Genomic DNA, 21423 nt, shown 5'->3' with positions numbered 1-21423 from the left:
TATTTTGTTATATATTATGTGTTGTTGATATGGGATGGGGGCAGGGAAATGCTAGGTAGCGAAGGTCAGGGTCCCTGACGAGGGCTCCACCCTGAAGCCCGTGCCCACAGGACCTAAATGAGGACAGCCATTTCTATTTTCATGCCCAAAAAGTTGCCTTTTGGCCTGCCATGCCCCCATCCTCTGCCCATAAAAACTTGAGACCCTAGTGGGCCAGACACATGGGGCTGAATGTTGAGAAAAGCAGAAGAACAAACCAACAGACACCACCAGACATGGGCATGCCAGCAATGGTGGAACAACACAGACACCAAAAGGAATTCGGCGGGGGGCAGTCGGAGGAGAGTCTGGCTGGTGGGTGGCCCAACTCCAGAGCAAGACCACCTTCCCACTCCATCCCCCTTCTGGTTCCCCATCCATCTTGCTGGGATCTACCTCCACCAGTCAATAAAATCTTCTGTTTCATTATCGATTATATATATTTTTTTCTTCATTCTTTTCTAATTATTTCTTTCCTCTTTTTTTTTTTTTTTTTTTTTTTTTACAATTCTCCTGCATCTCTTTTTCCACCTCCCAATTTCTTTCTGATTTTATCCAGTAGCACTGCATAGTTAGTCCATTTTCTCAAAAAGAATATTGACCACAAATGTTGACTGGATTTGCCTAGCCGAAGTATGTTTATCAATTATTATTTGCAGCATTCTTCTAACATTTAAAGTTTGACAAAAAGATGTATTGATATCGTTTGAATTTGTGTCCCCACCCAAATTTCATATTTAATTTTAATCCTCAATGTTGGAGATAGGGCCTGGAGGAAGGTGATTGGATCATCAGGGCAGTTTCTGATACCTTAATACCATCTTCCTGGGTGCTGTTCTCATGATAGTGAGCGAGTGAGTTATCATGAGATCTGGTTATTTAAAAGTATGTAGCACCTCTCCCACTTCTCCACCTCCTGCTCCAGTCACATGAAGACAACTCCTCCTGCTTTGCCTTCAGCCATGTGCAAAAGCTCCCTGAGGCCTCCCCAGCCACATTTCTTGTACAGCCTGTAGAACTGTGAGCCAATTAAACCTCTTTTCATTATAAATTACCCAATCTCAGGTATTTCTTTATAGCAGCAAGAGAACAGACTCATATGTTGAAAAGTAATTCACTATAGAAAGATCTATGTATACAAGTATAAATCTGTGTATAGATTCATGAATACATTTAATTAATTAGGATTATGTTTGCCTGAAAGTGAGAGAAAAGGAAAAATAATAGTGATCTAAATAAATATCAATAAATTTATCTGTCATATAAACAAAATCCAGAGGCAAGAAATGGTCCCAGGATAATTTGGTAGTTATGCTCTATGAAGCCTCCAAAAACCTGGGATCTTTCCAGCTCACCACCTTGCCATCCCTAACATATAATCCTTCACCCTATGGTCCACAAAGGTGGTATCTGTACTCCAGGGAACAGGATGAAGAAAACTCTGAAAAGGGGACAAATGGAGAGGTGCCAACTTAATCTTAAGAAATTTACCTGGCAGCTGCCATGTGACACTTCTATTTAAACCTCATTGGCCAGAATTAGTCACATGGCTAAACCTAGATATAAGTAAAGCTTTATTCTGGATGGCAAGAAACTCCACCAGCATGTGAGAAATGAAAAACAACTACTGACGGATAACATCACTTTGCCATGCTTATTTTATATAGATAGCTTATTGATGGCATGTAACATATGATACTACAAAAGAATTTCAGTGTGCATAATTCTTCCTCTCTAGGATATTGATGCAACCCTTTACTAAGAATATCTGAAAGCTTAGTCTCAATGTGTTTTTCTTTGTTCTTTATCTTGTTCACCCTACTTTGTGCATTTATCTATCTCCATATCCATGCCAGTTGCAGTGGACTGAATGTTTATCCCTAACCCCAAAATGAATATGTTGAAATCCTAAACCCCAATGTGATGATATTAAGAGATAGGGCCTTTGTGAGGTGATTGGGTCACCTTTGTGAGGTGATTGGGTCATGAACGAAGAACCCTCATGACTGGATTAGTGCTCTCATAAGAAGAGAAAAACTCCTTATCCCTTCTTTCATGTGAGATTACAGGGAGAAGACAGCTGGCTATGAGGCAAGCCTCATCAGACAATTTTCTGATGCCTTGATCTTGGATTTCCAAGGTTTCATAACTGTGAGAAATAAATTTCTGGCATTTTTATAAGCTACCTAATCTATGGTGTTTTGTTATAGCAGCCCAAATTTACTAAGACACAAGTTCAGCCAGTTTTGTTATTCAGAATTGACCGATATACTAATTGCAAACCATTTCTATATTTGCAATTGTGCTAGATTTGCTCTTTATATATCCCAAGTGCATTGTGTTCTGTTCCATTTCATAAAAAATAATAAAATTTTGGAGATATTACACTGTTGATAGCTTTTGCAAATAACATGCCTACAAATACTTTCTGTTGCTGTGGTGGCAGAGGTTTTAGAGGGTGCCTCGCCTTTAGGGTGCAAAACATAATGTCTGGTTTGATTATTGCCTTCCCATCACTAGAAATCCTTTACTCTGAGATTAGTTTCCATAATTCATTAATAAATACTGCTATTCCCCAAAAGCACAGCTATAATTAGGGCTAAAAATACTACTGTTAAATTCATTTTTGAACTTTATTACTTTTATTAACACATCACATTTATTTCACTATGTTTAGTGATTATTGATGAATTTTATCTCTTCTTTGTAGATTCTAATCCCATTTGTAAGAAATGTGTGTGTATAACACAGTCCTTGACATACAGGAACTAAAATGTATAAATAACATATATAAACAACCTATTGATTATTGATTTACACTGCATGTACATTAATGACAAAAAAGTTATGTATGATGCCAGTTGAAAGAAGAAAAATTTTCAAAAGTCTTTGTCAGTTTTTGTCAAATCAGAAAGAATCAAGTAGGGGAATGGGAGTAAATTGGTATAGCTATTAACTATCCTTGGAAATAACAATAGAATATCTCTTTATTCCACCCTGGGCTGAAAATGGTAAAAGAATTTAACAAAAGGGGGAAGGCATAGTTTTTGACATATATTTTGGGTGTATCACTGGAATTTAAAATAAATAGTGAACAAATGATTATAATCCCCCAAAATCTTTAATATAAATCAATCATTTTTAAGAAGCCAGTTCTGCTTTGGAGTATCTTGAGAAGTTAGAAGTCTCTTCTACTTCAATGTTTCTACTGAATGTACTCAGGAGCGTAGCTTCCTATCGAGACCACATCAGGACTGTTGTGATAAGTGGAAACACCACAAGTCCCCGGGCTGTGATTGGGCAGGTAATAACTCACATCAGTTACCAAGATAACACTTTATTGAGAGAGGGACATAAACATTTCCACTTAGAAATTCTATTGCCCGTTGTCTTTCTTATTCTCTCTGTTTCACTCAAATTCCTCATTCACATTTCCTGTGAGTAAATTTTGGCAAGAAGGAGAGGGGAGAGGGAATAATTCCATATTCCTCCAAACCTTGAGCTTGCCATATAGTTGCCATGTTAAAGTGCATCTACAATCATGGATACATTCTGAGGTAGATCTATATTTTTGTCTCATTTCCTCAGTTTGTGAAACCTGGATTTTCTACTGTTTAGGTACAAGGATTTTATGGTTATATAAATAGTTATGTATAAAATAATGCATATGTTGAATTTGGACTGTGAAATATAAAGATGATTCAAGGAATGAAGACATTATCAGCTCCTGCATATACTTTCACCATGTAGAGTTAAGGAACAAATAGAATAAAGCATGGAGGTAATTCAGTTTCCTAACAGCTATAAAATTTTTCCAAAGATAAACATTAATTATTATTTGTCACTTCCTTGAGAATTTAAGATTCAGTTGATCAGATTTTCTTCCCGAATTTATCTGGAATCAGCATCTCCACCAATTTACTACTTATTCATAATTATGATATTCAAAATAAATCTTAAAGGTTTATGTTAAACATTGGTTCTATCAAAAATATCAGATTTTTCAGACATTCTGTTGTACATATTCTGTTTTATAAGTAGAAATTTGCTTTGTTTGAAATAATGAGAAAGGATTTGTTGTTTCTTGCTTATAAAAGTCCCCCAGAAAAAAATGTTAATATTCAGCAAATGACAGAAGTAGCGGTTGCCATGAAATTAGTTTTTGACTTTAACAAGGATAATGCATAGAACTGCTCAGTCTTCAAATGGTTTTCAAGACATTCATTGATTAATATTAGTTTCTGAGGACAGCGCTTATTAAAGGTAGGTGCTGATATACTAGAGAATCTATAAATTATTTCTGTATATGTGTGTACTCATTAAAGGCACAAACTTTTTAAAATTTTGATTTTTTAATATGGCATATATTATACAAGTATTTAAGTGCTTATCTTGACTTAAAGTCTGTCCACTGAGTGAATTTTAATGTTTTAGTTTGGAGAGGTTTTTACTTGAAGGATCTTAAAATTATGATTAATAGTCTTTCTGGGATATCTGGTATTCAATGAAGAAACTAGAACAAAAGTGGACTCAGTCATCCTTAAAGTCATATGAGTATTGCTATAAAAGCAAAAGTCAATTACAAGCGTGATTGACTGATAGCAATGTAACATAAAGCAAGTTAGCTGAAAAGATTAGCATTCAACTTTTCAAGAGACTTAGAAAAGAAAGTCCCAGGCTCACAACTTATAATCAATGTCAAGATTTATTCAAATCTGTCAATTGATTTTTCTGTTATGCTCTCAGAACAGTTGAGAAATGTAATTAATTTAAAAAATGACACAAGAGTACCACTCTCTTGCTAATTGGCAGTAACTTTGAGCAAATGCTGCGCATGTGCAGAAGACAGGAAAGTTGTTAATCACCCCCATTTGGTGACTTAGTCCCACACAATTACATTACCATCCTCACCTGCATTGAGGAGAGCCTCACAACCTTGCATTTTAGAAGTAAATGACACTGAGAAAAGGAACCATAATGAATATAAATAAACAGAAGCAGGATGTCTGGAATATGTTTAAAGCAAAGAGGTGATTTCAAATAGCCCCAGTATAGCTTTGCAAAGATGTTATTGGATTCATAGTTTCATTTAGTAAAGCTTGCTCTCTGATTAGAGGAGAGTTTATTAGATTGGTTTATCAAATATTTATTTACTCAATGTAATGGAGTTTGAATGGAGTCAAAAAATGCATTATATTTTAAGACGTTATTTTATTTATTTATTTATTTTTTTGAGACGGAGTCTCGCTCTGTCACCCAGGCTGGAGTGCAGTGGTACGATCTGGGCTCACTGCAAGATCCGCCTTCCGGGTTCACGCCATTCTCTTGCCTCAGCCTCCCGAGTAGCTGGGACTACCTGCGCCCGCCACCACGCGGGCTAACTTTTTGTATTTTTAGTACAGACAGGGTTTCACCATGTTAGCCAGGATGGTCTCAATTTCCTGATCTTGTGATCCGCCTGCCTCGGCTTCCCAAAGTGCTGGGATTACAGGTGTGAGCCAACGTGCCCAGCCAAGATGTTATTTTTAAAGAGAAAACTTTAAATAAGGAAGAAAGTAAGGTGTATAAATGTGATCAAAGCATTGTTAGAATGACATAAACCAAGGATCAGGACAGACTGTCTGTAGATGTGGCTGTAAAGTAATTCTGAAATTTTAACACGAGTCAACAGGGGGGCAAACCGGGGAGAATTTCCAACTGGGAATCTTCTTGAAGGTAGATTAACTCTTTTCTCTCTTCTCCATCTTTCATACTACTCTCCCCTCTCCCTCCTTTTCTATTCCTGTTTCTGTCATTTCCCTCACACAGAAATTCTCAACTTCTGGTCAAGTAGCTACTCACTAGCTAGTCTTCAAGTCAGTCACTAAATTGTCAAGTATTTACCAGGCTTATGAAAACTAGTCCGGTTCTGAGCAGGAATGGAAGACTATATGGCAATTCTCCAAAATAATATGTTTTTAAAATTTTGTTGCAACATGTAAAGTAAATATTTAATGTGCCTAACTAAATGGATTTGAAAAAAAAAAGCTGCCCATGTGCAGAAGAGACAGGAAAGTTTTAATCATCCCCATTTGATGTGGTTCCACACAATTACATTACCATCCTCACTTGCATATTTTGCTGGTTGCATAATTTTAACAAGTATGATAACTGATTTAACCTCTTAGTTACTTTCAGCACACACACGTGACAAAAATGGGTTTACAGAGTATCATCTAATAAAACAGGTACTCCCAAATATTTCATAGCAAAATTTAAATGTCTAATGACAGAGGACTATTTTAACAATTATTGTATATTTATTACATGAAATAATGAAATATTGTTAAGAACCCTACTAAAATAATTCTGTGAAATTTGTATAGAAACTGCTTATGTTACACTGTTAAGAGAAAAAAAGAATGCAAAGTTAAACATTTACTAAAATCATTCTGTCTATAAGATTAGTGAGTTGGTATTAAATAGCTGGGTCATAAAATGCCTGGTATACTGTGACCCGAGTGTGCTTATTGTAATCGCACAAAGTATATCTTATTACCCAGGTTGACAAACAATGCCAGAATTCAGTTTTACTTGGGATGCAATTTGGAAGTTAGCCTTTTCATCCATGGAAAAGCAAAGTGAACTCCCTCCTGCCTTACAGTTGGAGAAGAACAGAAACAAGACAGATACTCAGGCAATGAATATCTCTAGGGCTGGACCAAGAAAGAGAAACCATTTCTGGTAATAAGCAACTAGGGGCAGGGATTTTCCAATGTAAATAAGACCTCTTTAGAAACATTCTTGATGAACGAATACCTGTACTTTAAAAGAACTTTGTGTAATTGCAGAACGAGACCGTCCTGGCTAACACAGTGAAACCCCGTCTCTACTAAAAATGCAAAAAAATTAGCCGGGCGTGGTTGCAGGTACCTGTAGTTCCAGCTACTCGGGAGGCTGAGGCAGGAGAATGGCCTGAACCCTGGAGGTGGAGCTTGCAGTGAGCCGAGATCGCGCCACTGCACTCCAGCCTGGGTGACAGAGCAAGACTCCGTCTCAAAAATAATAATAATAATAATAATAATAATAATAATAATAATAATAATAATATTTTGAAGGAAACAGTGCACACTGGAAGGGCAAAAGTGGTACATAGAAGATGAAATTGGGCTGAAAGAAATATTTCTCTGCCACATTTGACCAAATATTTTCACCAGTACCTTAGTGGGGAGGGGTTGAAAATTAATATAAGAAACACACCATGATTTATTAAAAGATGTAAATTTTTATGTTTAGTTAATTATATACTGTTGTCATTCCATCTTGGGTATTTATAATTGTAACTAATTTATTTTGCTTTTTTCATAAAGAGCCAAGTTAAAGGATCTCGGAAAGTGGGGTTTTAGATAGGTATTTAGCTCAGATTCTATTTTACCTAATATGAAGTGTATAGGTTTTAACTGGTAAAACCATATACTCAATTATATTTTTACCATGTTGACTTGAACTGGTCTGGTTGTACAGCTAAGAGAATTAAAATATATAAAGTTATATATAAATATGGACATAGGCTTCTAAGAAGCAAGATCGAATCTAAAAATAATTCAATTTGTGGGATAAGGTTTGGGACTGATTTACTGTCACTTTTATAAGATTTCAATTATTATTTTACTAATATTTATTTATATATTACTGTCTCTCAGGAAAAATAAGGAGAATTTATAATAATATTATTTGCACAATATTTATCAACTTTAGTTATGATAATATCTTACTAATAGATGTTATTAATCTATTATCAACTGACATCATTAATTTTAGCAAATCCTTTCTGTTCTTTGGTGTCAATGCCCTCTAGCCAAAGATCCCTGGAAATACACTTGTAATTGAACAAGTTGAGTTTGTTGCTCTGTAGTGGGATTGATAAGGAATCAGAGACCAGTGGGGTTCAGGAGGATATTTATTATTTAGGTTCACCGGTCCAGTTGGATTAACATCCAAAGGACTGAGCCCTGAACAAAGAGTTAAGTTACCTTTTAAGCATTTTGTGGGGCGGGGTGGGGTGGGGGAGATCTGTACAGGGGGAAGCATATTACAGAAGCAAGAAATAAAAAACAGTTATTCAATTAATTGAAACATGCATTACATCATTTCTTACTTTTTAAGGAAAAACATGTTTTATGACTTGAGTTTATCTGTCTAGTGACCTTGCAGCTGCACAGCTAGAGAAACAGGGTCTTCACAATGTCTGGGAAAAGAGGAGAGACAAGGCTCACTAGCCACAGAAAAACAGGCAGTTAATTTTTTAAGGATTCCAGCTCTTTCTTTTTCTCAGGGGGAATTGGGTTTTCTTACATACACCTGAATTTCTGCTTACACATTCTTTAATTTTTTTAAAATTCCTGTTCTAGCTCACTAAAATGAGAAAGAACAGACACGAGGGGAAATCACGAAGTATATCAGTAAATTGTTAGAAAGTACCTATTACAAGATTTGGGCTTTCAATGTTGAGTAATTTTGAGGAGAATCTAAAGAAGTGGGCCTTCGTTCTGGATTGTATACTGTCAGGAAGGTAGAATAATTCTACGATTAGGCATTGAAAGAAATATTATCAATGGGAAGAAGTGGATAATGGTACAAAGAGGATCCAACAGTCACTCATATTAATTGGAAGGGGGAACTATTTGATATTTTGCTGGTTGTGCCAACAAAAATAGATCTTGTTTTTGTCCCACTTTATTACTATCTCAGATCGTTTAACTTCAACCTGAGAACATGGATTACCTATGAGCATCAGACCAGTTCTCAGATGTCAGGTGTTGCCTTTTTTTTTCTTTGTCCTTGGCAATGCCATATTCTAAAGCATCACCAGAATGTCTATTTTCACAAGTGTCAATGCCTGAGAGCTGTGGCTGAATCTGGCCAGAGACTAAGATCCCTGGAAAATAAGCTCTACAAAATAAATAAGCAAAGTGCATATTTTTTAGCCAGTTGTATTCCTAAAGAGCTTCTATTTTCTACTCCTAGTAATTTCTGGGAATGGTTTTCTTTCTTATTTAAGTGCTGAAGATATCCTTTGTCTGAGTATCTGTCCTGACTCATTTGCCTTCTAAGGGACACAGCCTTGTTTAGCCTGGGAGGAGTTAGTTTCTCTGGATTAGGAATATACTAAATGTTTCAGCTGACTGTACAAAGGAGAAGGAAAACACCAGTGAAATAAACTAGATAGGTGCAGGGGAAAGATCATCACTGCAAAAATGCAGAGTCAATCATGTCAAAGGCCAGTACCACAGGAAATTGAAGACAAGACTCTGTGAGGCCACACAGCCCAGAAATGGGCTGAAAGAAGGAATAAGAATGAGGTACCTGGGAGTGAGGTTCAAGAAGAGACCCTCCCATGCTGAGCATGCTGCCTCTGGGGACCTGTTTGCTCCTTTCTGTCTGTTTTGCAGGTGAGCCCCATCTGCTAAAAGTGGCCATATCTTCAGCTCCCTTGACACAAAATAAGCAAATAGAGGATCTAAAAATAAACACACACACACACGCACACACACGCACACACACACACACACACATATGTATACATCTATATATGTATACATCTCTGTATAGACGTGTATATATATACGTGTGTGTGTGTGTAATTTTAACAGAAATCACATATACTTCATTAAAGGTGTTCACATAAAACTGATATGGTTGACACATGCTATTTTCATGGGAACATTTTCCAAAGCCTGGAAAAAAAAGAGAGGGAAAAAAATACTTAACAACAAAACAGAATATTGAGAATGGAAACAGTGTATGAAGTGTAAGAAATGTTTCAATGGTGGTGTCTGACAAGGAGAAACAATAGCCTTGGCTCTTGACATTAAGAGTTGACCATAAGGCTTGATCTTTTCCTACTTCGATTACTCTCAAGGATCCTCTTTGCCTCATACTATTCCACTTCTACTTCTGAACCAAGACGATGTTTTTGCTAAATAAAAATTGGTTCATGTTTTGTCCTGACTCTTCAAGACTCTCTTGACTCCCTATGTCTGTGGGAGAGCACTTCCTTAATTGTTTTCCATGAACATTTCTAAGAGACATTAAAAGGTATTTTTAAGATTCTTTCAGCAAATAATGTAGAAGACACTGATTCAGCAAGGTTAAAGAGGCTTCTACAGAATTTTTCACAGTTGTGACTCATAGAACTATGTTTATTATACAACCTCTTTCCATACTACACGTATTAAGAACATGGAGGACCTGGTGTACCACAAAACACTGTGACAAGTATCTATCAGGGGCATCCAAAGGAGAGAATACAGTCATGGGTTCTTAGTTTCTGTTTCTGGTTGGGCCAGTAAAGCCTATTCCTCATCCCTCTTTTCAACTTAAGCCTATTCCTCATCCCTCTTTTCAACTTATCACTAGAGACAGAAACTAAAACCCATGGCTTCAGGCTGCTAAAAGCCCTAAAACAAAACAGAATGACAACAACAAAGTAAGGTGGTTGGAGAAGCTTGTGTGATGTCAGCATCATTTTTTTTTTTTTTTTTTGGATTTGAGGACATTCATGATCTAGCCCCTGCCAAGCACAAAAATCACATTGTCTTCAAACATGTTCATTACAGGCATAGTTTTCTGTAACTTCTTCCTGGGATCTTGTTCACTTTGGCCATTCCCTTCATACCTCTTCCTGGCATCTTGTTCACTTTCGCCATTCCCTTCATACCTCCTATATACATTTCTAGTTTAGTACCATTAACCTAATTTGACAGCTGTTTCATTATATCCATGCTCACCTCACCCCTACCCTCCACCCCAGATGAGTGTGTTAAAGGAAGCTTCCTGTCATGTAATCCTGCATTCCTACCACAGGGCCTGCCACATAGTAGGTACCCATTTAATATTTGCTGAGTGAATTCAGTGGCAGTTTTTCTCCAAAGGCTTATAGTTAGTTTGTTAAAAATGGCCTCACGGATACTTATGGGGCATGATAAGAGCTTTGCAAGAGAACAAATACAATGTTGCCAAGAAATATAGCCACAGTAACCAAGTATTCTTTGTTGTTATGGTTATTGTTGTTTCAAGGTTAAACGCTAGACTGATGAAAAACGTATAGAATTATGGAATTTCAAGAAGATTTGAAGCGACTTTAGAGGTCATTTGGCTCATCTCGTTTTTTTGAAATCCAGTATATTTGCTGCCAAGTGGTTGGTCTACAGCTTGTTTAGACACCAAAGTTCCTTTGGTAGGGACTTAACTTTAATCTCTCTTGTGATAAAACTGCCTGGCATGTGAGGAATTTCAATTGATCTGAAAAAAAGAAAAAAATATATGGGCTCTACTTATAATCCTAGGGTTGCCCTAAAGGGCTACAGCAAAAAAAAAACCTGATTTCTTTGTCACATAGCAACTCTTCAAATAGTTAGCTACACTACTCCCCCATGCATAGTCTCTTCTCTAAAATAGTGTAGTAATAAGCAGCCCAAATCTTCAACACTTCTATATAAGTCCCCAGCTTAGCAGTCGCTTGACTTCTTTCTTATGTGAACCATTACATTATTTTGTAACTTTCAAAGAATGGCATGCAGAAATAAGTCCTATATTCTATGTGTGATGTAATCAGCATTCAAAAAATATATTCCAATTAATATTGTTTTTGGACAATGATATTATGCTAATGACAATTTTAATTAAAACTGTACTGTCATCTAAAACCTTTCCAGCCTTTAATGTATGCAGTGTGCCAGGCCATGTACTCCATTGCATAGTCATGAATTTGGACTTTTGGAACCATATGTGGAATTGTAATTTATTCGACTAAAATCTATTTTTGTAACATTCCTTCCCCAGACTATTGTTATTTTCCATCATGACTTTGTTTTCTATTAAACATTTACTGAGCATCTGAGATGTATAAGATCCCACGTTATGCAGTAAGAATGCAAAATCTGATAAAAATATATTTCATCTCTTCCAGATATTAAAAGCTATATGAGAAGACACACAATAATTTCAGGATATCATGGAGACAACTTTATCCAAATTATTGGGAAAATATATTAAACAGGTGAAAGGGATCTTGGGAGCATGCCAGTAGTAATTTTCCTCTAGAATCACCTCCACCAATATTCTTTATGTACATGTTTGCAAATGTATTTTGAAGTATACTTTACTTTCTGGAATAAGTATTGAATGGCCCAAAGCTAATGGTTAACTTGGGTTGGATAATAAGGGAATGTTAACTACACCAAGGATCTAGCCTGGATAACATAGTACATGAAATTGTATGTGTAGCCACCCGGTCCAATCCCTTTTAATTAATTTGAATTCTTCTTGCCTTACAATTATTTTCCTGTCAACTAGAAACAAATGACCCAAATCACTTTGAAAATGGCCCTCTAGGTATCATTAAATATCATGTTTTATTATTATCTTTCCAACAGACTGAATATGTCCATTTCCATGAAACTTTCCTTAAACATTTTATTTAATGAACCTTATCATTTTATTTATGACACTAAAATTGGTTTTCTATTGTAATGACAAAATGTAATCTGAATATAATACTTTTAATGAGATCTATTGAATGCCAAATGGAGTGGAATGATTATTTTGGGAGGCAAATATAGGATAGTTTTCTTTTTCAACAAGCACATTCACTATATTATTTTCCAGAACTTTATCCCTGGGGTGTACACAGTTTTACAATCCCTTTTTTAAATGCTCCCATCCACTTGCCCACACCACCCTGGGAATACTGGGTAGAGATTAGGAAACAGCTTACCGTTCGCCTTTCATTATCTCAATTTACCAATTTTAGACCATTTCTTCAACCTATACAGCTATTCACATTTCCATAATTTTATCTTCTTTACTGGTGATTAAATGAAAGATTTTGCTAAGTTGCATATCAACAAAAATGTGGAGCATATAATTGAAATGAATTCTATTGGTTCTAAATCAAAGAATGGGGAGGGCTTGGGCTGATTTTATTCATAGTACTACACTTATCATGGTGCAATTTGGGAGGTTCTGAGACTACCCTCAGATTCAATAATTCACTAAAAGGAATCATAGAACTCAGAAAAGCTATTATATACATGGTTATGGCTTGTTGCGATGAAAAGATACAAATTATAATCAACAAAAGGAATCAGCAAAGGGATCCAGAAAGCAGGATCCAAGACAGAACAGATGTGAAACTTCTAGTTGCTCTCTTCCAGTGGAGTAATTGAGACAATGCTTATTTCTCTCACTAATGATATTTAAAAATATGTATAAAATATTGCCAACCAGGGAAACTCACCCAAGCCTCAGTTCAAGGGCTTTTATTGGGGTTGGTCACATAGATATGTCTGACTGCCTGAATATCTGATCTTAGTCTCCAGTTCTTCTAGAAATCAAGCTCATACTATGTGGCCCAAGGCCTCTATCAGGAATTACATTGTTAGCCTAGGCTATCTGGTGTGACTCAAGACCCCCAAGAAAACAAATATAGTCTTATCAGACAAGATATTCGAAGGACTTAGAAATCCTGGGTACAAGGAACCGGTTAAGTGCCAAACCATTCTTTTGACAGGGTTGATTGCAAAAACAGATTCTTAATTTAGTTTGTAGAGCATTTTGGAGACAATAAGTTTACTTTGTTTAATAAATAAACCTTAGAGACTATCATGCATACTTAAACTTAGCAGAAATTTATAATATCAGACAACCTTTGGAAGATATTCAAAGCCTTAGGAAGATAGAACTGATAGAATAGATTTATAATGTGAGACCCAGTCATGTACTCTTTTAACGATGTCTATTGAGACGGCTCAGAGACCTTCTCATTATTAAAAAATTGAGGTATATATTCATTCTATTCTTTCACTCATTAATTCATAACTACTGAATGCAATCATGAGCCAGAAAATATTCCAACATGGGATTCGTCAGTAAGAAGAACAGATAAAGGTCCTTACCACTGTGAAACTTACTTATATTCCAGTGGTGGTAAGGGAGCAGAGGAGAGATATACTATAAAAAATAAACAAACATAATGAATTAGGAAAGTATAATATGCCACATAATGATAAGTTCTGTCTAAAAAGAAAGAAGTAGGCCAAGGTAAGTAGGATAACCAGTGCCAAGTGGATGTGGTACATTACAGTAGTATTAAATATTAAATGTACATTTTGAGATAGGCACCATAATCCTTGAAAGGAATTGTTACCAGAAAGGGGTCCTGATCCAGACCCCAAGAGGGGGTTCTTAGACCTTGCACAAGAAGTAATTTCAGGGCGAGTTCATAAAGTGAAAGCAAGTTTATTAAGAAAGTAAAGGAATAAAGAATGGCTACTCCATAGGCACAGCAGCAGCTTGGGCTGCTGGACTAAGGATATGTATAGCTATTTCTTGATTATATGCTAAACAGGAGATGGGTTATTCATGAGTTTTCCAAGAAAGGGGTGGGCAATTTCTGGAACTGAGGGTTCCTCCCCTTTTAGACCATATAGGGTAACTTCCTGAAGTTACTTTGGCATCTGTAAACTGTCATGGGCTGGTGAGAGTGTCTTTTAGCATGTGAATGTAATATAATTAGCATATAATGAGCAGTGAGGACAACAAGAAGTCAATTGCATTGCCATCTTGGATTTGGTGGGTTTTGCCTGACTTCTTTACCACAACCTGCTTTATCAGCAAAGCCTTTGTGACCCATATCTTTTGCTGACCTCCTATCATCCTGTGACTTAGAATGCCTAACCTCCTGGGAATGCAGCCCACTAGGTCACAGCCTCATTTTACCCAGTCCTCTTTCAAAATGGAATGTCTGTTGTTCAAACGCCTCTGACAGAATGACAATATGAAATGTTACCATTGAAATGGGCTCTCTGGTTTTCCAAAAAGAATGAGATACCAGAGTGGAAGGTAACAAATGGGAATAATTAACCACAAGACAGGCAATGTAAAAGGCATCAGAGCCAAAGAGATAATCAAAAGGTTCTGACCAGAAATTATCACTAGCAGAGGGTAGTTATTCACAGGGACACCAGAACTAAAATAGACACCCTTCTGAAATGCTGCCTTATCTCTATAAGTAAAAATCTTCTAGTTCCTGCCCATAGAGCTTGATTGAGTTACATAGTCATGCCACTTTACTCATTTCCAACCCTCAGTCAATAAAAGACTCACTACCTCTTTCATAAAAGAAGAGGTGGAAAGAAGAAAGAATTTTATGACAATCTTCCCTTAAATCCTGTCCAAATATTCTTGTGCTCATCTTCCAGGGTAGCAATATAATGAAGAAAGGGAAATTCCTAGAACTCTAGGCATTTACTGAACTCTGAATCTAAACTAAAACTAATTTCTGAAATCCAGAAACCACTGATGTTCACCCGTCCAAGTGTCTAGTTTAGAATCAGCACATCATTTTTTGTGAAGAAGCTTTACTGACATTATAGGACATTGTATATACTTTGAACAATAGTTTGGAAAGAATTGCAACTCCACAATGTTGAGTTTTCTCATCCATAAATATGGTATATGTCCACATTTTTGGGGACATCTTTTTTATTACATGTTTTGATAGTTGTCAGAAAAGGTTTTCCTCATTATCCTACTATTTTAACGTCATGTAGTTAAGGCTGATACACCTGCATACTTTCAATTAAAGTGAGCGAGCATCAGGCCATGTCTTGAAATGAATTCTGAGATATTAGTGACCTGCTTCCCAATTCTCTCTAGTCCTGGGAGTTGCTGGCACTGCTCTTGAAGTGGCATCATTGTCTGGGTTAATAGCCGAGGTTTGTTGCCTCATGCCAAGAAAATTAAGGACACAGAATCACACAAGGCATGAGTTTAAGAGTGGAGGTTTAACAGGCAAAAGAAAGAGAATGGAGATCAACTCTCTTTCATGTGAGAGAGGGGGGGCACCCCAGTGGGTCTTTGTGCACCGGATTTTTATAGACAGGCTTGTGCAGGCGGTCTCTGATTTATGTAGGACCTAAAGATTGGTTGGACCAGGTGGTCATTTATATAGTGTGTGGGGAAGCTGGCCACCCGTCCTAATCTTATTATGCAAATAGGCTTTTCACCTGGCCAGTGCCATGTTGTCTGCTCCCTAGTGCACACGTGATTGGAAAGGAAAAGGAAAGACCAAGCCACCATTTTGAATACTCCTAGTCCCACGTAGCCTTTTCCTATTAGCACAAATATGGGCATTCACCCATGCAAGCTTCCAACTTGCTTGGCTATGAGGTGGCTTGATTTTACAGGCTGCTCTTTGTTAGAAAAGAAAATGATTTGGGGGCTGCTTTTCATTATAAGGAAAACCTTACTAAAGACTTCCTTACCCTTATTATCTGCCTAAATGATTTCTTCTTAACTCATATATCACTTTGTCTCTCTAATCCAAGCTCCCATGCTCCTGCGTCTACTTGGAGGTAGAACCCCTTTTGCTTCTACCTAACCCAAGATTGGAGCTAGATGGAAGAGTTGACTTGCTAGTGCCTGCAAAGGCGTCTCAGCTAATTATCTTTTGTGTTGTTCTTATGAGAACAAACCTACTCCCAGCAGATTTTCTGCAGGTGTGTAACATTTTCTTGTGCAAATACTTCATCCTTTGTTAGTACTTTCTTGTTGTTTTGTGTTTTGATTATCCTTTCTTATTGAATGTTACTTAATTTTCTTCCCAAAGGGGTTTCCTGTCTCCTTTGGTTATCAAGAGGTTCCACTTTTGTTTTCCGACGTTGTTGTGGAGTTATAAAGTTAATATTATTTAAATTTTTTAAAATTTTATTTGTTATAAATTCAAGGAAGTAGAGAGAGGCCTGTACTTAGTATGCACCTTTGAAAGAGAAGTCAATATCTCTTTTTCTGTGTACACTCAAAGGTTGCAACTTTCTGCAACTTAAATATTAGAAAGTAAGGAAATAATGTAATTCACCTTTATGTTTTAAAATTGCAATTACTTCTCTTTAAGAAGTAATATGTGATTAATTCAAAAGATCTTGAAAGATAATGTGAAAAATCAGCAACAATCTTGCCACTTAAATATGATTATTGCTGTATTAATCTATTTTCTTCATATACATATAAATATATACATATAAAACATACATGTATGTAAAAACATATATTTATGTATATATGTTAAATATTTTCACATACATGTATTTGAAAGCACATTTCAAATAAATGTGACATGAACATGTTTATGACAATATTATTTATGAGATTATTTTAAATTATTATATAGTGTTCTATTATACAAATACAATATATAGTTGACCTTTGAACAACATGAGGGTTAGGGGTGCCAACACCCTGTCCAGTAAAGAATCTGCATATAAATTTTGACTCGTGAAAAACTTAACTACTATTAAATAGTCTGCTATTGACCTTAGTGATAATATAAAATCAATTAACATGTATTTTGTATGTTATACGTATTATATACTATATTCTTACAAGAAAGAAAGAAAGCTAGAGAAAGAAAATGTTATGAAGAAAATACTAAGGAAGGTAAAATATATATACCATTTATTAAGTGAAGGTGAATAATCATAAAGGTCTTCATCCTCTTCATCCTCATCTTCCTGTTGAGTAGACAGGAAGAGGAAGAAGAAGGGCTGTTCCTGCTGTCTTAGAGGTAGCAGAGGCAGAACAAAATCCTTGTATACATAGACCCACACAGTTCAAATCAAGTACTTCCAGTTTTGTGCAATTGTAAATAATGTCACTCTGAGCTGCTTTATTCTTGCATCTTCACACAGAATTTTTGTGAATTTTCTAAGAAAGCATTATAAGTAATGGTATTACTAGGTTCAAAATAATTCACATATTCAAAGGTTTAATACTTGTTGTCAATATGGTTCTCAATTGACTCTCTTCTGCGTTGTAGACAATTGGTAGTTTCTAAATATTTCACCAACACAATGTTTTATTATTCTTTATATTCATCGAAAATATTAAAGGAAAAATATGCTTTCTCATTATTGTTTAATTTGTGACTACTAGGGGGTTGGGTTGAAAACATATTTTCATCTGCTTTTGTAGTACCTTGAAAAATTGCTTGTTCATCATTTTTCTGTTTTGTAATTTTTTTGGTTGACTTTTAAAACGTTGTCATCTTTTAAGGATATCAATCATATTTTGATATGCATTATATACATTTTCCCATGATTCCATAATTTGGCTATTGCAAGGAATGTTGCAATGAATATAGAACTGCAGATATCTCTTCAATGTACTGATTTCTTTTTTTTTTCTTTTGGATATATATCCAGAAATGCAATTGCTGGATCATATAGTAATGCTATTTTTAGTTTTTCAAGGAGCTTCCATATAGTTTTTCATGATGGCTCTACTAACTTACCTTCTCACCAACAGAGTTGCCAAGACTTGCTATCTTCTGTTTCTTTGTTTGTTTTTGTTTTGTTTTGTTCTTTTATAAGAGCTATTCTACAAATATGCAGTGATATCTCTTTGTGGTTTAGGTTTGCATTTCCCTGATGATTAGTGATGAGCATATTTTTCATATACATATTGGAGATTTGTATGTCTTTTTTGGGGGAATGGCTGTCAGATCCTTTTGCCCATTTTTAAATCAGATTATTTGTTTTTTTGTGTTCTTTATGTATTTTGGATATGAACCTCTTATCAGATGTATTGCTTGTAAATATTTCTCCCAAATTGTTCACTGTCTCTTCATTCTATTTTCTTTCTTTTTTGTGCAGAAGCTTTTTAGTTTGATGTTACCTCATTTGTCTACTTGTGCTTTTGTTACCTGAGCTTTTGCAATCAAATTTTAAAAATCAGTGTTAGTTTCAGATTTTTCACGTAAGTCTTTATTCCATTTAAAGATGACTTTTGTACACGGTATGAGGATAAGGGTCCAATGTGATTCTTCTGCATGTGGATACCAATTTTTCCCATCACTCTTTATTACAGAGTATTCATTTTCCATTGTGTATTCTTGGCATCTTCAATGAAAATCAATGGACTGTAAACACATGGGTTCATTTTTTTGGGGGGGCTTTCTATTCTATTCCATTGCTTTTATTGTTATGCCAGTATCATGCTGTTTTAATTACTATAGCTTTGTAATATAATTTGAAGTCAGGTAATGTGATGCCTACACTGTTGATTTTGCTCAAGATTGCCTTGAACATTCAGAGTTTTTTGTGGTTCCATATGAACTTGAGAGTTTTTTTTCTATTTCAATGAAAAATGACATTGGAATTTTGATTGAGATTGCATTGAATCTGTAGATCACTTTGGGTAGTATAGATATTTTAACAATATTAATTCTTCTAATACATAAACATAAAATATATTTTCAATTATTTGTGTCTTCTTCAATTTCTTTGATCAGTGTTTTGTAAGTTTCAGTGTACATGTCTTTCACCTTTTTGGTTAAATTTATTTCTAAGTATTTTTTGGGAAGCTATTGTAAATGGGATTGTTGTCTTGATTTGTTGTTAGTGTACAGGAATGCTGCTAATTTTGTGTGTTGATTTCATTTGTATTCTGCACCTTTACTGTATTCTGTGTTTTCTGGTGTAATTTTAGGGTTTCCATATGAACATATCATCAGTAAACTTTGATAATTGTATATATTCCTTTCCTATGTAGATGCCTTTTATTTATTTCTCTTGTGAAATAACTCAGGCATGAACATTCAGTGCTCTATTAAATAGAAATTGTGAGAGTGCACATCCTTGTCTTGTTGCTGATTGTAATGGAAAAGTTTTCACCTTTCCACTGTTGAGTACAATGTTCATTGCATGCTTGTCATATATGGCCTGCATTGTGTTGAGGTACATTACTTCTACACCTAATTTATTAAGAGTTTTTAACATTAAAAAAAGTTGAATTTTGTCAAATGCTTTTCATGCATCTACTTATTTGATCATGTAATTTTTGTTCTTCTGAATGTGATATATTGAATTTATAGATTTGCATATGCTGAAGCATTCTTGTATCTCTGGAATAAATCCCACTTGATCATGGTAAATTATTCATTTTCATGATTTACTTGATCATGATAAATGATCACTGTCCTTTAAACATGCTGTTGAATTTGATTTGCTAGTGCTTTTGTTGAGGATTTTTGCATCTATGCTAGTCAGGGATATTGGCCTGTATTTTTCCTTTATTATAATGTCCTTATCTGGCCTTAGTATCAAGGTAATGTTGGCCTCATAAAAAGAGTTTGGAAATATTCCATCCTTTTTGATGTTTTAAAGGCATTTGAGAGGGATTGGTATTAGTTTTTCTTTATTTTGTGTGTGTCTTTTTTGTTTTGTTTTGTTTTTATTTGAGACAGAGTCTCACTGTGTCACCCAGGCTGAAGTGCAGTGGCGCCATCTCAGCTCCCTGAAACCTTGGCCTTCTGGGTTCAAGTGATTCTCCTGCCTCAGCCTCCTGAGTAGCTGGGACTACAGGCATGTGCCACCATGCCTGGCTAATTTTTCTGTTTTTATAGAGATGGGGTTTTGCCATGTTGGCCAGGCTGATCTCGAACTCTTGACCTCAGGTGATCTGCCTGCCTCGGCCTCCCAAACTGCTGGGATTACAGGCGTCAGCCACCACACCCGGCAAGTTTTTCTTTAACTGTTTCATAGAATTCAGTGATAAAATCTTCAAGTCTTGAGCTTTTCTTTGATGGCAGATTATTTTATTACTGCTTCAAACTCCTTACTCATTATTTATCTATTTAGACTGCATATATTTTTGAATCAGGGTTGGTAGATTTTATGTGTTTGGGAGTTTATTTATTTCCCCTAGGTTATTTAATTTTTTGGCATATAAATGTTCTTGATAGTTTCTTGTGATCCCTTGTAGTTTGGTATATCATTTGTAATTTTCTTTTCTTTCATTTCTCATTTTATTTATTTCCATTTTTTCTTTACTAAATTTGTTGTGTTTATCTTTTCAAAAAAGCAATTCTTGGTTTTGTTGATTTTTCCTATTGGTTTTGTTTATTTTTCCTATTGGTTTTCTGGTCCCTATTTCATTTATTTATGCTCTGAATTTGTTATTTCCTTCTGTCTGCTAACGTTGGGTTTAGTTTGTTCTTTTTATTTCCCAGTTACTTGAGATGTAATCTTAGATTATTTGATATCTTTTTGCTTTTCGATATAGGCATTCACTGCTATAAAATTTCCTCTTAGAATTGTTTTTGCTGTATTCCATTCATTGTGGTATGTTTTGCTTTTATTTTTGTTTGTCTCAAGATATTTATTTTTAATTTTATTTTTAAATTTCTTCTTTGACCCATTTGTTGTTTACTAGCATGTTGTTTAATTTCCTCATACTTGTGAAGTTTCCAACATTTCTCCTGTTATTGATTTCTGGTTTTATATAATCATAATTAGTAAATTTACTTGATATGATTTTAATCTTCTTAAATATGTTCAAACTTGT

The 21423-nt window shown here is 35.4% G+C and overlaps 1 long non-coding RNA gene across 1 annotated transcript in view, besides 2 other annotated features; it reads left to right on the top strand.

Moving 5' to 3' along the window:
* The window catches only part of LOC105377865 (uncharacterized), a 374941-nt gene that overhangs the window by 132133 nt on the left and 221385 nt on the right, over positions 1 to 21423 (top strand). The window lies entirely within an intron of this gene.
* Positions 4187 to 4356: an enhancer, noted in NCBI's record as "experimental_95771 CRE fragment used in MPRA reporter constructs". NCBI's record gives its function as "activates a minimal promoter by MPRAs in K562 erythroleukemia cells, with activity observed for the non-introgressed 6:78874135 variant allele {active_cell/tissue: K562}" and the evidence as "EXISTENCE:reporter gene assay evidence [ECO:0000049][PMID:34662402]".
* Positions 12424 to 12593: an enhancer, noted in NCBI's record as "experimental_95763 CRE fragment used in MPRA reporter constructs". NCBI's record gives its function as "activates a minimal promoter by MPRAs in K562 erythroleukemia cells, with activity observed for both the introgressed and non-introgressed 6:78865898 variant alleles {active_cell/tissue: K562}" and the evidence as "EXISTENCE:reporter gene assay evidence [ECO:0000049][PMID:34662402]".

The sequence above is a fragment of the Homo sapiens genome, chromosome 6 (genome assembly GCF_000001405.40).
Source record: "Homo sapiens chromosome 6, GRCh38.p14 Primary Assembly".
NCBI lineage: Eukaryota > Metazoa > Chordata > Mammalia > Primates > Hominidae > Homo > Homo sapiens.
Note: the sequence above shows the minus strand (reverse complement) of the source record. Positions and strands in the feature narration are given on the sequence as shown.